We start from the raw sequence: 15,947 nt of genomic DNA on the forward strand, positions 1-15,947 counted from the left end.
ATTTTGATAAGACTGCTAAATAAAAAAGCAGTTCATACATTATTTTTATCACCTTCCTCTTCTATTTCCTCTTTCATTTTTCTATTACATTTTGATTTTGACTTTTATGTTTCTGCATCTTTACTTTTCTCCACCCCTGGAGCAATGGGAAGTATTTTTTTGCAGGCTACAAGGTACCATTTTCAGTGTCTGATGAAGTTCTCCCTTTGGTGTGTGTCAAACAATCATTTCCAGCCTCCAGATAAAGAGACAGAGTGGCCCAGAAATGCCCTAAGCCCACTAGAGGCATGCTTGCCTAAGCTGGCTGCATCTCTCCAGTTGCAATGCACATTTTTTGGGACAATAATAAATACTGGCTCAAAAGAGAATGATGGAAAGTACATTTTTAGGAGATATGAGATCTAGGTCTATTGATGGATAAACTGATTTTTTTCCAGTCACTATAACATCTGTTCAGAGTAAGTAAGCATCACTGCACAGGGAGATGGAGGATGTTAACTGATATTGGGACTACAATTAGATAGAAGAAAACCAGAACCAAGGCACACACACTGTTCAGATAGTTCATAGGGTTATTTTAATCACTGATTCAACTTTACAGAATGAAGTTTCTCCATTCAATTTCACATCAGTAACTGCAGGTTGTATTATGTCTAAGATTGGTATAGAACAACAGCAATTTCACAATATCTAGACAATGAATGAATATTAAAAATCTATTTCATTAAAAAGCTCTTTCAGATACTGGTATCTGAAAGAAACCATGTTGGACGCAAAATATATCAAGAAATCAAGAACTCAATATAATGAAAATAAGGCTGAAGACTGCAACAGATTTGAATACAGCATGCCTCTATATTCTAGTTATTAATGATTGATTTTTAAGAAAACCTGTTTCAGTGAAAAGGGCAAGTAATCTTTTTTAATCTCACTTTAAAATATTTCCTAGAACTTTCTCATTCATTAGCTCACTTGATTCTCAAAACAATGATTCTCATTCATTAGCTCACTTGATTCTCATATTCTCATAATCCTAAAATAAATGTTATTATAATCTGTATTTTAAAGTTTAATATTTTGAAAGAAATAAATTACATAATTTGATGAGGGTGATAAATTGGGACTCCAGTCCCAATTTAGTTCACCCTGAGCAGGTCCATTCTCACATCAACCTGTTACACCATTTAAAGAAATAAAAAATGTCCATTACATATATTTTTAAGTTACATTCAGTCAAACAAGCAGTTACCTTAGCACTCAGATGTGTAAAAACCAGTGCAACAAAATTTCAGTTTTTAACAAGTCATCTGAAACAACAGAGGACATAATTTTGTCCTGTTCCCAAGATACTTTGTGTTTATGTTCCTAAATCCTAAATTCCTAAAATTGCATCCTGATAAAGAACAGTAAATTTGTTTCTCTACTATATTTACCATATTGCCTCATTACTTGATCCCTCCTTCCTTCCCTCCCTCTCCCCTTCTCTTCCATTCCTTCTTTTCTTCCTTCCTTCTTTTAATAAATGTATATATATATGTGTGTATATATATATAACCAATAATTACCAAGCACTTACAGTACACTGGGCAGAGTGCTAGGCTCTTCACTGAAAACACTTCAAAGTATAATAAGAGAAACAGGAAGCAATGAAATGAGTCAGCTAGTTTTGGAATCAGGTTAGTCACAGTTGATCTCAGCTGCAGGCCCGGAAGGTTGGGGGTGGGCTGCCTTGTATTGCAAACACATGCATCACATCACACAGACATCCTGCACGCTGGAGCACAGTAGCCTGTCAGTTCCCACTGCTGAGTCATTTACAGCTTTTATCGTAGTTAATGCCAATGATTATATATGTTAAAAGTACTTATTAATCCTTGTACCAAATATAGAAGAGGGCTCAGACGCTTCTTATCTCATGGTTCTTAAATCTAACCATGCGCCATACTCACTGGTAGTTTTACAAGGAATGGATTCTTGAGCTCCTCTAAAGAAATCAGTAGCTCCAAGAGAGATGTTTTTAAAAATCTGTTTCTAGTAAACTCTCCCAGTGATTGCTGAGTAACCTACTTAAAATGACATTGGAAAACCATACACTAGAACCCTGCTTTTGATTTTTGTTACAAGATCTAGAATCAAGTTCAAATAGTCTAGATAGTAAAATATTGTGAGAATTTTTTTTTAGTTTTAGAAATCCTACAAGAAGTATAAAACTATTGTTATAGTCCATGCAACCAAAATTCTTACCCAACTACTGGAAAATGAAGGAGTAAAAAGAGTTGGCCAGGGTAGAGACATCTGGATCCCTCTTCGGCAACCTAAGAAGATAAGTCTGTCAGAGAATAGTGATTATAATGAGTTAATGACTATATGCCTGGTTTGCTTTAGACAGCCCCATGTCATGCCTTCTGTCTTAGTATAATTATTAATCATGCTACCCATTTCTTTCTCCGAAGTGTCCCTATTTGAACAACAAGTTATTTGGTCACCCCAACTAAAAGGGAATCTTGTCAGAGACCAATGAGTGTCGTTTAGTGAATATAGAAATAATAAGCAGGCTCTATTTATTCATTTATTCAACTCAATTCAGCAACACATTTGTGCTAGCATTCGCACATGCCAAGTCCTGCATAAGTGAGGAAAGCCCCTTGCCTTGTGGAGCTTACAGTCCAGCAGTGGAAGACTCACACAGTATACAAATGAAAAACAAATTAAAAAGGATAGAGATTACAATAACTGCTATTATGGGAATAAAGAGGATGATATAATAGGATTTCATGGGATGGACAGGTGTAATGAGGGGAGGCCTTCTGGCAGACCATCATCTGTTTCAACCTCATTTTGCATACCTTCTTGTACTCCAGAAACTGGAAAGCTAAAAGCTATGTTTCATATCCTCCTCCGCAGCTAGGGATCTGGATTTAGACACAGACAACCAGATATACTCATGCGAAGCACTGATTCAGAACTAAACTGTAGAAGGACGACGCAGTGGCAGAGAAGGTGTCTACTTCACTGGCACAGAAGTCCAGTCTCCTTATTGTCAGACAGCACATAAGATGTGTTCCTGAAGGTAATGGTTCTGACCCCACTTCCTGATCCCCTACTCATGGTTATAGTAGTACAACCCTGAAGCCAGCAGTTGGGACAGCAGTCTTCTAACTCCCCAGCTTCCTGATGAGGCAGATGTAGAGGGCCAGTTCTGTGGTGGTGTTCTTGGAGTCTGGAATAGTTCCACATCAAGAGCTATTCCCAAGACCTTCTAAAAAATTGTAAGCACTAACTTACCATGTTAAGTTCCCTTCTGATTAAAATGGAGTGGTTTCTGTTATCTGTCACAGAATGCTAAGTGATAAAGACCTAAAGAATGAAAAGGAGTCATGTGGCAAATAAGGGGAAGAGAATTCCAGACCGAGAAAATAGCAAGCGTACAGGGTCAAGGCTGGGAAAAGACTTGGCACGTTCAAGCCACAAGAATAAAGTCACTGTTGCTGGAGGAATGAAGAGGTGGGAATGCGGAAAATGAGACACTGTGGGAGTCTGATTAGGGCCATGTCAGTGAGAGACAAGTTCAGATTTTTCCTAGTATATTGGGAATTCATTGAGGAGTTTCAATCAGGCATGATCTAGTTTTAAGAATATTAGACTAGATGCCTTGCAGAAAAGGAATTAAAGCAGGAAGATTAGTATAGGACTATGTCAGTAGTACTAGCAGGGGTGAGGAAAAGGAGGAATTAAATTCTTGGCTTTCAGCTAGATCAGAAGGTAGATGTGCTGTAATTCATTAAAACAGAGACGAATAGGATAGAATAAACATATGTTTGAAGCATCAAGAGTTTGTTTTCGTTTTGTTTTTGGGTATCTTTGGTTGCACAAGTCAAAGTTGAGATGCAAACCAGACAAAAGACTTTGACAAGGAGAGTTTTATAAATAAGAATCTGCAAAGGAACAGTCAGTTTTCCATGGAAATCCTCATCTAAACCAGGTCCTAGGGTCAAGACGTTTTAACATAAGAGTCAGAAACAAAACCTCAGAGCACAGTGCATCCAAGCACCTTTTTCGTTTTTTATACGAGGTCTCGTCTTTATCACTCAGGCTGAAGTGCAGTGGTATGATCACAGCTCACTGCAGCCTCAAACTCCTGGCCTTGAGCGACCCTCTTGCCTCAATCTTTCAAGTGTCTAGGACTACAGGTGTGCTCTGCCATACCTGGCTAATTTTTAAAATTTTTTTCTTGAGACAGAGTCTTGCTATGTTGCCCAGTCTGGTCTCAAACTCTTGGGCTCAAGCAATCCTCCAGCCTTGGCCCCCCAGCGTGCTGAGATTATAGGCTTAAGCCACCACACCTGGCCACCAAAGCACCTCTTTCTTATGTTGGCTGTTACCAAAGCCTATCAGACATTCCCTCTATTAACCCTACAACCACAGACCCTGTCCTTACCTGCAAATTCACGAACACTTCCTCAGGCCCAGGAAGAACTGGACGACTTCTGTCTACCTATACTACCAGCAAATGATTAAGTCAGACTGTCAGGACGTCTACAACCCTCTTATTATATGTTTCCTATATTCTTTCAACTCTGATCAGTTGTTGGGGGAAGTCAGGGACCCCGAATGGAGGGACTGGTTGAAGCCATGGCAGAAGAATGTGAATTGTGAAGATTTCATGGACATTTATTAGTTCCCCAAATTAATACTTTTATAATTTCTTATGCCTGTCTTTACTGCAATCTCTAAACATAAATTGTGAAGATTTCATGGACACTTATCACTTCCCCAATCAATATCCTTGTGATTTCCTATGCCTGTCTTTACTTTAATCTCTTAATCCCATCATTTTCATAAATTGAGGAGGATGTATGTCACCTCAGTACCCTGTGATGATTGTGTTAACTGCACAAATTGTAGAGCATGTGTGTTTGAACAATATGAAATCTGGGCACCTCGATAAAAGAACAGGATAACAGCAATGTTCAGGGAATAAAAGAGATAACCTTAAACTCTGACCACCAGTGAGCCGGGCGGAACAGAGCCCTATTTCTCTTCTTTCAAAAGCAAATGGGAGAAATATCACTGAATTCTTTTTCTCAGCAAGGAACATCCCTGAGAAAGAGAATGCGCCCCTGAGGATAGGTCTCTGAAATGGACCCTTGGGTCTGGCTGTCTTCTATGGTCGAGCTGTAGGGATGAAATAAGCCCCAGTCTCCCATAGCACTCCCAGGCTTATTAGGAAGAGGAAATTCCCGCCCAATAAATTTTTAACAGACTGGTTGCTCTCAAACCCTGTCTCCTGATAAGATGTTATCAATGACAATGGTGCCCGAAACTTCATTAGCAATTTTAATTTCACCCCGTCCTGTCCTGTGGTCCTGTGATCTCGCCCTGCCTCCATTTGCCTTGTGATAGTCTATTACCTTGTGAAGTACGTGATCTCTGTGACCCACACCCTATTTGTACGCTCCCTCCCCTTTTGAAAATCCCTAATAAAAACTTGCTGGTTTTGCAGCTTGAGGGGCATCACGGAACCTACTGACATGTGATGTCTCCCCTGGACGCCCAGCTTTAAAATTTCTCTCTTTTGTACTCTGTCCCTTTATTTCTCAATCCGGCCGATGCTTAGGGAAAATAGAAAAGAACCTACATGACTATCGGGGGCAGGTTCCCCAATAATCAGTAGCCCTGAGACTATAAGTTGAAGTCTGCTTACTTTGCTATAATTACTATCTGGAAAGCTGACTTGCTATTCTTATAAATATAATCCTAGCATTGCAGGATACCATGGGCCATCTTGCCAATCTCCTTGCTGCACAAACTTGCTAAGCCCATTACATATGCAAGTTTTATCATTATAATCATAATCATCAATACCATTGTGGCTGAGGTTGATGTTATGATTGCCATACATTGAAAAGTAGCTATGTAAGTCACTAAACAAACATTTTATCTCCACTTAAATATATTTGTTTGTCTGAAATAATTACAGAGAGAATATACATAGATCTATGTGTGGACAAGCCTATCTGTGTACGTGTGTGTACATATATTTGTGCACAGGCCTAAACAAATATATATGTATGGACGTATATGAAACTAATATGTAATCAGTTAAAAAGTTAGGTTAATATACATAGGTTAACATGTATGTATATTAAACTAACAGGTTATCATGAATGTGTTATTTGAACTCATAGTCATTAAGAGATGTAAAACTGTTAAGATTTTTCACTGTTGGAAAACATTGGAGAGCCTCAAAATATTTAAACATCTAATCTTTAAGTTGAAATGATTCACACTAAAAGAAAATAAAAATATCTGAGCATATTTATTCAGGAGCAGCAGTAAATTAAGAAACCAAGAGTTTTTTTAATGAGTTTTCACTATATTAATTTCAAGCTATTTATTATGTTATGGGCTGTCTGGTTTGTTAAAGCCTAATTAATGTAAGTAAAGAAGACCCAAGTAATCATTAAATATATCACTATGAAATGAATTTTAGATAAAAGTACCATTACTTTAAGAGAGGAAAGAACACATAATTGCCATGGTTGATATTAATTTTAATGTCATGGAAAATTTATTTAGTAGGAAGATGCTTGCAAGTAACATCTGAATTTTTCTCTTTGTTTCAATATCCATGTAAACCTGAGAGAAATTGCCTAGTAGATTTTAAAAATCTATAGTATAGGTGTTTTAATCAGGGGTCTCCAGAGAAACAGAACCAATAAGCCAATTCCTTATAATAAATACAATTTGATATAAAGAATGGCTCACATTATTATGGTGACTGACAAATCCCAAGGTCTACAGGGTGAGTTGGCCAGCTGGAGACCCAGGAGTGCTAATGGTCTAGTTCCTGTCCAAAGGTCAGTAAGTTTGAGTCTCAGGAAGAGCTTATTTTTCAGTTCAAATCAGAAGGCAGAGAAAAGCCAATGTCCCAGTTTGAAGTCAGTAAGGTGGGGGGAAATCTTTCCTTGGAGAAGGTCAGCCATTTTGTCTTATTCAGGCTGTCAACCGTATGAATGAGGCCCATAACATTAGGAAGAGTAGTCTGCCTTACTCAGTCTACCAATTTAAAGGTAAATCTCAACCTAAAACACCCTCATAGAAATGCTGAGAATGATGTTTAACCTGGGCACTTTGTGGTCCAGTCAAGTTAACACATAAAATGATCACCACATTAGGTCAACTCTCAGAATGCAGAATGTTTTGCCTTTACTAATAATTCATGCTAAAGGAAAAAGTGAACATGAGTAGTTACAGCCACAGATAATATAAGATACTGTAAGTCTGGTTTCAAAAAGCATTATGTGAATTCTTCACATGTTATTTTCAATGGTCCTCCTTATTCAATAGTTTTAATATATACCTGGTATCTGCCATGTCTACCACAAAGGTAGACAAAATGCTCACTGGGGTCCTAGTCCTTTTTACCTCATGCCTACCTGGCCACCTTATAGCTGCTCTCTCTTCAAGACAATCTACTTTCTACATATTTACTACATAAATATTCCTGGCTGGGTATCGCAGCTCATGCCTGTAATCCTAGCAATTTGAGAGGGAAAGGTGGGCAGATCGCTTGAGTCCAGGAATTCAAGACTAGCCTGGGCAACATGGCAAAACCCTATCTCTATTTTTTTTTAAATGTCTAATGAAAAAAGAAATCCTAAAACACTGTTATTATTACAATGCTCCCCTGGCTCAGGAACCTACCATGGCTCACCAGAGAAACAAAGGTAGATTAACTTTCACCTCCACAAAAAGACTATAGCTATTATTGTGTACAAGTATTTTTTTTTAAATAAGGCTAAAGTTTCTACACTGACTTTCAGAATTTCAGAGAGGAGTCCAAGTTGTAAGCCAGCTGGAAACAAGATGACTACTATAATGGCATGAGAGTGTTCATTAAGCAAATTGTATCTTGCCTTAAGGTATGTATGTGGGGAAGGGGGTGTATAGTATTAGACAATGCTTCATTTAACTAGACTTTCTTTTCTTCATCAGATTTGTTTACTTCTCCTATACTCTAGGTCTACGCTAGGCTCTAGAGTTTCAACGCATTAAAGGTACAGCCCCCTGATGGAACTAAATAGAGAACCCAGAAATAAACCCATTCATATATGGTCAACTGATACTCAACAATAAGGAAAGAAAGTCTCTTTTATAAATTACATTTGAAACACTATCTACATGAGAAAGACATTTGCCCTTTATCTTACACCATACACAAAAATCAACTCAAAATGGATTGAAGATCTAAATGTAAGACTTGAAACCATTAAAAGCCTAGGAAAAAAACATGGAGAAAATCTCCTTGACATTGGTCTTGACAATGGTTTTTTGGCTAGAACACCAAGAGCACAGGCAAGAAGAGCAAACAATACCAAGTGGGACTGTATCAAACTAAAAAGCTTCTACACAGCAAAGGAAAGAGTCAACAAAATGAAAAGGCAACATGTAATGAGAGAAAACATCTGCAAACCACATATCTAATATTCAAATTATATGAGAAATTCATACAACTAAATAGTAAGAAAATGAAGAATCCAATTAAAAAATGGACAAAAGACCTGAATAGGCATTTCCAAAAGAAGATATACAGATGTTCAATAGGTATATGAAAAAATGTTCAACATCACTAATCCTCAGAGAAATACAAATTAAAATCATAATGAGGTATCACTACACACCTTTTAGAATATCTATTATCAAAAATGAAAGATAAATGCTGTCAGAAATGTGGAAAAATGAAACTTTTGTACATAGTTCGTGGGAATGTAAATTAGTGTAACCATTACAGAAAACAGTAGGGAGGTTTCTCAAAAAATTAAAAATAGAACTACCATATGATCCAACAAATCACTACTAGGTGTATTTCCAAAGGAATGAAATCAGTTTATTAAATAGATATCTGCACTGTCATGTTCATTGCAGCATTATTCACAATAGTGAAGATATGGAATCAGCCTAAGTGTCTGTCAATGGATGAAATGGATGAAGAAAATGTGATATGTATATATCTATATATATGATTCTATATATATAAAATATCATATATAGATTATATATCACATAGAGAGAGCTCCATATATATATATGGAGGCTGAATAGTACATACAGTAGAGTACTATTCTAAGGAAATTCTGTCATTTGCAATAACATGGATGAACATGGAGGACATTAAGTGAAATAAGGCAGGCACAAAAAAAATACCTCATAAACTCAGTTATATGTGGAATCTACAAGAGTTGAACTCATGGAGGTAGAGAGTACAATGGTGGTTACACCAGGGGCTGGAATACTTGGGAAACGAAGGATGTGGGGAGCAGTTGGGGAGATGTTGGTGAGGGGATTCAAAATTTTAGACAGGAAGATTAAATTTTAAGATGTTTATTGTAAAACATGGTGATATAGTTAATAAAATGTATTCTACCCTTGAAAACTCCATAAAAAGTAGAATTTGTGTTCTCACTGCAAAATATGTGAAGTAATGCATATGTTAATTAGCTCAATTTAACCATTCCATGATGTATGTGTATTACAAACAATATGTTATACAAAATAAATATATAAAATTTTTTGTCAAATAAAAAGTTTTGAAAAAACAAGGAAAGGCTCTGAATAGACGTATTTCCAAAGAAAATAGACAAATGTCTAACAGGTACATGAAAAGATGCTCAACATTAATAATCATTAGAGAAATGCAAATTAAAACTGCAATGAAATATCACCTCACACCTATTAAGATAGCTGCTATGAAAAAGACAAGAAGCTAGGTGAGTAGCTCATGCCTGTAATCCCAGCTATGCAGAAGGCTGAAGTGGGAGGATTGTGTCAGCCCAGGAGTTTCAGACCAGCCTAGGCAATATAGCAAGATCTCATCTCTGTTTAAGAAAAAAGAAAAAGAAGAAAAAGAAGAGGAGGAGGAGGAGGAGGAAGAAGAGGAAGAAGAGGACGAAAAAGAGGAAGAGGAAGAAGAAGAAGGAGGAGGGAGGAGGAGGAGAAATAATAGAAGACATAAGTGTTGCAAAGGGTGTGGAGAAAATGAATCCTTGTACACTGTTGGTGGGAATGTACTAGAACAGCTATTACTGAAAACAGTACAGAGGTTCCTTTAAAAATTTAAAACAGAGCTACCATATGAACCAGCAATCCCACTTTGGGTATATATCTAAAAAATAAAATAAATATTTTGGGGAGATATCTATTCCTCCTTTTCCATTGTAGCATTATTTACAATAGGGAAGCTATGAAAACAACCTAAGTGTCCATGGACAGAAGAATAAGTAAAGAAATTGAGGTACATATATACAATGGAATATTATTCAAACATTAAAAAAAGAAAACTCGTCACTTGCAACAACGCGGATGAACTCAGGGGACATAATGCTATGTAAAATAAGTCAGGCACAGAAAGACAAATACCATTATGTTCTCACTTACACAGGCATACCTTGTAAACATTGCAGGTCCAGTTCCAAATCACCACAATACACTGAATATCACAATACAGTGAGTCACACAAATATTCTGGTTTCCCACATAAAAGTTAGTTTTATACTCTATAATAGTCTACTAAGTGTATAGCAGCATTATGTCTAAGAAAGTGCATAATTTATTTTAAAAATATTTTATTGCTTAAAATGCTAATTATCATCTGAGGCTTCAGCAAATCATAATCTTTTGGCTAGTGGAGGGTCTTGCCTCAATGTTGATGGCTGCTGACTGATCAGAGTGGCGGTTGCTGAAGGTTGGAATTGTGTGGCAATTTCATAAACGAGACAACAATAAAGTACGGCATTGATTGACATATCCTTTTATGAAAGATTTCTCTGTAACATGTTATGCTGTTTAATAGCATTTTGCCCAGAATAGAACTTCTTTCAAAATTGGAGTCAATCCTTTCAAGCCCTGCTGCTGCCTTATTAACTAAGTTTATATAATATTCTAAATCCTTTGTTGTCATTTCAATAATGTTCACAGCACCTTCAACAGAAGTAGATTCTATCTCAAGAAACCACTTTCTTTGATCATCCATAAGAAGGTACTCTTCCTCCATTCAAATTTGATTATGGAATTACAGCAATTCAGTCACATCCTCAGGCTCTACTTTCTAATTCTAGATCTCTTGCTATTTTTACCACATTTACAGTTACTTCCTCCACTGAAGTCTTGAACCCTTTAAATTCATCCATGAGGGTTGGAATCAATTTCTGCCAAACTTCTGTTAATGTTTATATTTTGGGCTCCTTCCATTAATCGTGAATGTTCTTAATGGCATCTAGAATGGTGAATTTTTTTCAGAAGGTGTTCAATTTCCTTTGCCTGGATCCATAAGAAGAATCACAATCTATGGCAGCTATAGCCTTATAAAATACATTTCTTGGCTGGGTACATGGCTCATGCCTGTAATCCCAGTATTTTGGGAGGCCAAGGCAGGTGGATCACTTGAGGCCAGGAGTTTGAGACAGGCCTGGCCAACACAGTGAAACCCTGTCTCTACTAAAAATAGAAAAAAATTACCTGGGCATGGTGGTGCATACCTGCAATCCCAGCTACTCAGGAGGCTGAGGCATGAGAATCGCTTGAACCCAGGAGGTGGAGGTTGTGGTGAGCCCAGATTGTGCCACTGCACTCCAGCCTGGATATCACAGTGAGACTGTCTCAAAAACATAAAGTAAAATAAAATATATTTCTTAAATAGTAAGACTTGAAAGTCAAAATACTGCTTGATCCATGGGCTGAAGAACAGATGTTATGTTAGCAGTCAAGAAAACAACATTAAAGTCCTTGTATATCTTCATCAGATCTTTTGGGTGACCAGGTATATTTTCAATGAGCATTAATGTTTTGAAAACTATCTTCTTTTCTGAGCAGTAGGTCTCAACACTGGGCTGAAAATATTCAGTAAATCATGCTATAAACAAATATGATATCAACTAGGCATTGTTTGCACTGACAGACTAGATTTAGCATAATTCTTAAGAGCCCTAGGGTTTTCAGAATAGTCAATGAGCATTGGCTTCAATTTAAAGTCACTAGCTGCATTAGCCCCTAACAAGAGAGTCAGACTGTCTTTTGAAGCTTTGAGGCCAGGCATTGACTTCTTTCTGGCTATGAATTTCTAGATGACATCCTCTTCCAAGAGAAGGCTGATTGACCTACACTGAAAATCTGTTATTTAGCATGGCCACCTTCATCAATGATCTTAGTTAGATCTTTGGGATAACTTGCTGAAGCTTCTATATCAGCATTTGCTGCTCACCTTGCACTTTTATGTTATGGAGATGGCCTTTTTTCTTAAACCTCATGAACCAACCTCTGCAGCTTCCTCTCCACTATCAGCCTTCATAGAATTGAAGAGAGCAGGGCTTCGCTCTGGATTAGGCTTTGGTATAAAGGAATGTTGTGACTGGTTTGATCTTCTATACAGATGAATCAAAACTTTATAAGCAATAAGACTGTTTCACTTTCTCATCATTTGTGTGTTCACTGGAGTAGCACTTTTAATTTTCTTTAAGAACTTTTCCTTTGCTTTCACAAGTTGGCTAGCTGGCACAAGAGGCTTAGCTTTCGCCCTGTCTCAGCTTTCAACATGGCTTCCTTACTAAGCTTTTGACTTAAAGTGATTCTTCCTTTCAATTGAACACTTAGAAGTCATTGTAGGGTTATTAATTAACCTTATTTCAATATTGTGATGGCTTACAGAATACGGAGGCCCAAAGAGAGAAAGAGAGATGGGAGAATAGCAGGTTGGTGGAGAAGTCAGAACACACACAAAATTTATTAAGTTTCCCATCTTATATAGATGAGGTTTATAATGCTCCAAAACAATTATAATAATAATATCAAAGATCACTGATCACAGGTCACCATAAGAGATGTAATAATAAAAACTTTTGAAATATTGTGAGAATTACCAAAATGTTAAACAGAGATACAAAGTAAACACATGATGTTGGAAAAACAGCACCCACCGACTTGAAATAGAGTTCTCACAAAAATGCAATTTGTAAGAAACACAGTACCTGTGAGGCGCAATAAAACATGGTACACCAAAAGCAACTGCAACAAAAGCCAAAACTGACAAATGGGATCTAATTAAACTAAAGAGCTTCTGCTCAGCAAAGGAAACTATCATCAGAGTGAACAGGCAACCTACAGAATGGGAGAAAAATTTTGCAATCTATCCATCTGACAAAGGTCTAATATCCAGAATCTACAAGGAATTTAAACAAATTTACAAGAAAAAAACCCCATCAAAAAGTGGGCAAAGGATATGAATAGACACTTCTCAAAAGAAGACATTTATGCGGCTAAGAAACATGTGGGAAAAAAAAGCTCATCATCACTTGTTGATAGAGAAATGCAAATCAAAACCACAACGAGACACCATCTCACGCCAGTTAGAATGGTGATCATTAAAAAGTCAGGAAAACAGACGCTGGTGAGGATGTGGAAAAATAGGAACACTTTTACACTGTTTTGGTGGGAGTGTAAATTAATTCAACTATTGTGGAAGGCAGTGTGGTGGTTCCTCAAGGATCTAGAACCAGAAATACCATTTGACCCAGTAATCCCATTACTGAGTATATACCCAAAGGATTATAAATCATTCTGCTATAAAGACACATGCACGTGAATGTTTATTACAGTACTATTCACAATAACAAAGACTTGGAACCAAATCAAATGCCCATCAATGATAGACTACATAAAGAAAATGTGGCACGTACACACCATGGAATACTATGCAGTCATAAAAAAGAATGAGTTCATATCCTCTGCAGGGACAGGGATGAAGCTGGGTACCATCATTCTCAGCAAACTAACACAAGAACAGAAAACCAAATACCACATGTTCTCACTCATAAGTGGGAGTTGAGCAGTGAGAACACATGGACACAGGGAGGGGAACATTACACACCAGGCCTGTTGGCAGGTAGGGAACAAGGGGAGGGAGAGCATTAGGACAAACACCTAATGCATGCAGGGTTTAAAACCTAGCTGATTGGGTTGATGGGTGCAGCAAACCACCATGGCACATGTATACTTATGTAACAAACATGCACATTCTGCACATGTATCCAAGAACTTAAAGTAAAAAAAAAAAAAAAAAAGGTATGCCTGTATGTGAAATCTAAAAATGCTGAGCTCATAGAAGCAGATAATACAGTGGCATTCTTCAAAGGCTAGTGGGTGGGGAAAATGAGTAGGTGTTAGTCAAAGGATATAAACTTTCAGTTATAATGAATATGTTTGATGATCTAGGGTACAGCATGGGTGGGGATGGATGTGTTAGTTTAATTGTGGTAACCACTACACACTGTATATGTATATCTAATCATCACATTGTACACATTGTACACCTTGAATATATTCAATCTTTCTTAATTAAACATTTTTAAATTAAATAAATAAATGCATAGCCTCTTTCATGAAGCTCAGAAACAAGCAGAAGGTAATTCAATAATGATAGTATTGGCTGGGCACGGTGGCTCACACCTGTAATCCCAGCACTTTGGGAGGTCGAGGCGGGCGGATCACTTGAGGTAAGGAGTCCAAGTACAGCCTGGCCAACATTGTGAAACCTCATCTTTACTAAAAAAAAAAATACAAAAATTAGCTGGGTGTGGTGATGTATGCCTGTAGTTCCAGCTACTTGGGAGGCTGAGGCAGGGGGATTGCTTGAAGCCAGGAGGCAGAGGTTGTGGTGAGCCTAGATCGTGCCACTCTACTCCCGTCTGGGTGACAGAGCAAGACTCCATCTCAAATAATAATAATAATAATAATAATAATAATAATAATAATAATAATAAATAGTATCTACCTACAAAGTGCTTACTTTGTGCCAGATGTTGTGCTTGGCACTTTACACATTTAAGTCATTTAATTTCCACAATAGTCCTATCAAGGAGGTTCTCTTATTATCTCCATTTTACACATGGAAAAAACCTAAGTTACAGAAAAGCTGAATAATTTGCTTAATGTCATTCACTAAGTGGTGTAACCAGAATTTGAACCAGACAGTCTGGCTTCAAATCCTGTGCTTTTAACCATGAGATTCTACTGTAAAATTTATCAAAGAAAGGTTTCCTAGAAGTGTAATGGGAGCCCAGATGAAATGCAATATAGGCAGTGGCTTCACGGAAAAGATCATCCCCTTTTTCATATATACAGTTGACACTCAAACAATGCAGAAATCTGCATATAACTTTTGGCTCCCCAAAAAGTTAACTACTTATAGCCTGCTGTTGACCAGAAGCCTTACTGGTAACATATACAATCGATTAACACATATTTTATATGATATATATGTGTATATATATATATAAACACACTCTATTCTTACAATAAAGTAAGCTAGAGAAAAAATGGTATTAAGAAAATCATAAGGAAGAGAAAATTCATTCATAGAACTGTATTGTATTTATCGATATCATAAGTGTATGTCATCTGTTGTCAAGGTGAAACTTCTATCTGAAATGGTAGGCAACCACGGCTGCAGATCTCAATCTATGGTACATATCAAGCAAGCCAACTTTTTCCTGTAATGTCGTGACTTTTCTCTGTTTCTTGGGAGCACTTCAAGCATTACTACTGGCACTTTGTATGGGTCCCATGGTGCTTTCAAGGTTTACAGTATTGCACTAAATGCAATGAAAAATGCAAGAACGTTGACACATCACTTTTTATTGCTATACACAATTTACTGGAGAGATGAAATTGCTCATGTGGAGATGATTAGCATCACAAGGCATTTTAAGCAGATACTCACAACACTTGAGCTCACCACAATAGCAGCAGCAGGTGGTTACAAAATTATTACAGTAGTACATATGTATTACTGTTCATTTCATGCAGTTATGATTTAATGCTGCACCCTTAAGTTTGTTTACATTTCTCTCAACTGTAAACGGCACCATGTATGGTCTGAAAGTGTGTAAGTTTTG

The 15,947-nt window shown here is 37.1% G+C and overlaps 1 protein-coding gene across 25 annotated transcripts in view, besides 3 other annotated features; it reads right to left on the reverse strand.

Annotated features, from left to right (window-relative positions):
• GRM8 (glutamate metabotropic receptor 8) overlaps positions 1 to 15,947 on the reverse strand; it is an 814,344-nt gene that overhangs the window by 260,915 nt on the left and 537,482 nt on the right. The window contains exon 7 of one of the 25 annotated variants that reach the window (NR_028041.1): positions 2,245 to 2,315. The exons of 23 other annotated variants lie outside the window; for them this stretch is intronic. Coding sequence is in view for 1 of the 2 variants with exons in the window: in NM_001371088.1 (NP_001358017.1) it covers positions 2,316 to 2,329 (14 nt within the window). In the remaining variant the exon portion in view is untranslated. Of the gene's footprint in view, positions 1 to 554; positions 2,330 to 15,947 lie in introns of those variants that run through there. One more of the 25 variants, NM_001371088.1, reaches the window with a different exon arrangement.
• Positions 1,233 to 2,432: an enhancer, noted in NCBI's record as "P300/CBP strongly-dependent group 1 enhancer chr7:126340799-126341998 (GRCh37/hg19 assembly coordinates)". NCBI's record gives its function as "activates an origin of replication core promoter dependent on BRD2, BRD4, P300/CBP, MED14 and CDK7 cofactors, with strong dependence on P300/CBP, by STARR-seq in HCT116 cells {active_cell/tissue: HCT116}" and the evidence as "EXISTENCE:reporter gene assay evidence [ECO:0000049][PMID:35650434]".
• Positions 1,509 to 1,828: an enhancer, noted in NCBI's record as "active region_26579". NCBI's record gives its function as "activates an Ori minimal core promoter by ATAC-STARR-seq in GM12878 lymphoblastoid cells {active_cell/tissue: GM12878}" and the evidence as "EXISTENCE:reporter gene assay evidence [ECO:0000049][PMID:35858748]".
• Positions 3,161 to 3,210: an enhancer, noted in NCBI's record as "active region_26580". NCBI's record gives its function as "activates an Ori minimal core promoter by ATAC-STARR-seq in GM12878 lymphoblastoid cells {active_cell/tissue: GM12878}" and the evidence as "EXISTENCE:reporter gene assay evidence [ECO:0000049][PMID:35858748]".

The sequence above is a fragment of the Homo sapiens genome, chromosome 7, assembly GCF_000001405.40.
Source record: "Homo sapiens chromosome 7, GRCh38.p14 Primary Assembly".
NCBI lineage: Eukaryota > Metazoa > Chordata > Mammalia > Primates > Hominidae > Homo > Homo sapiens.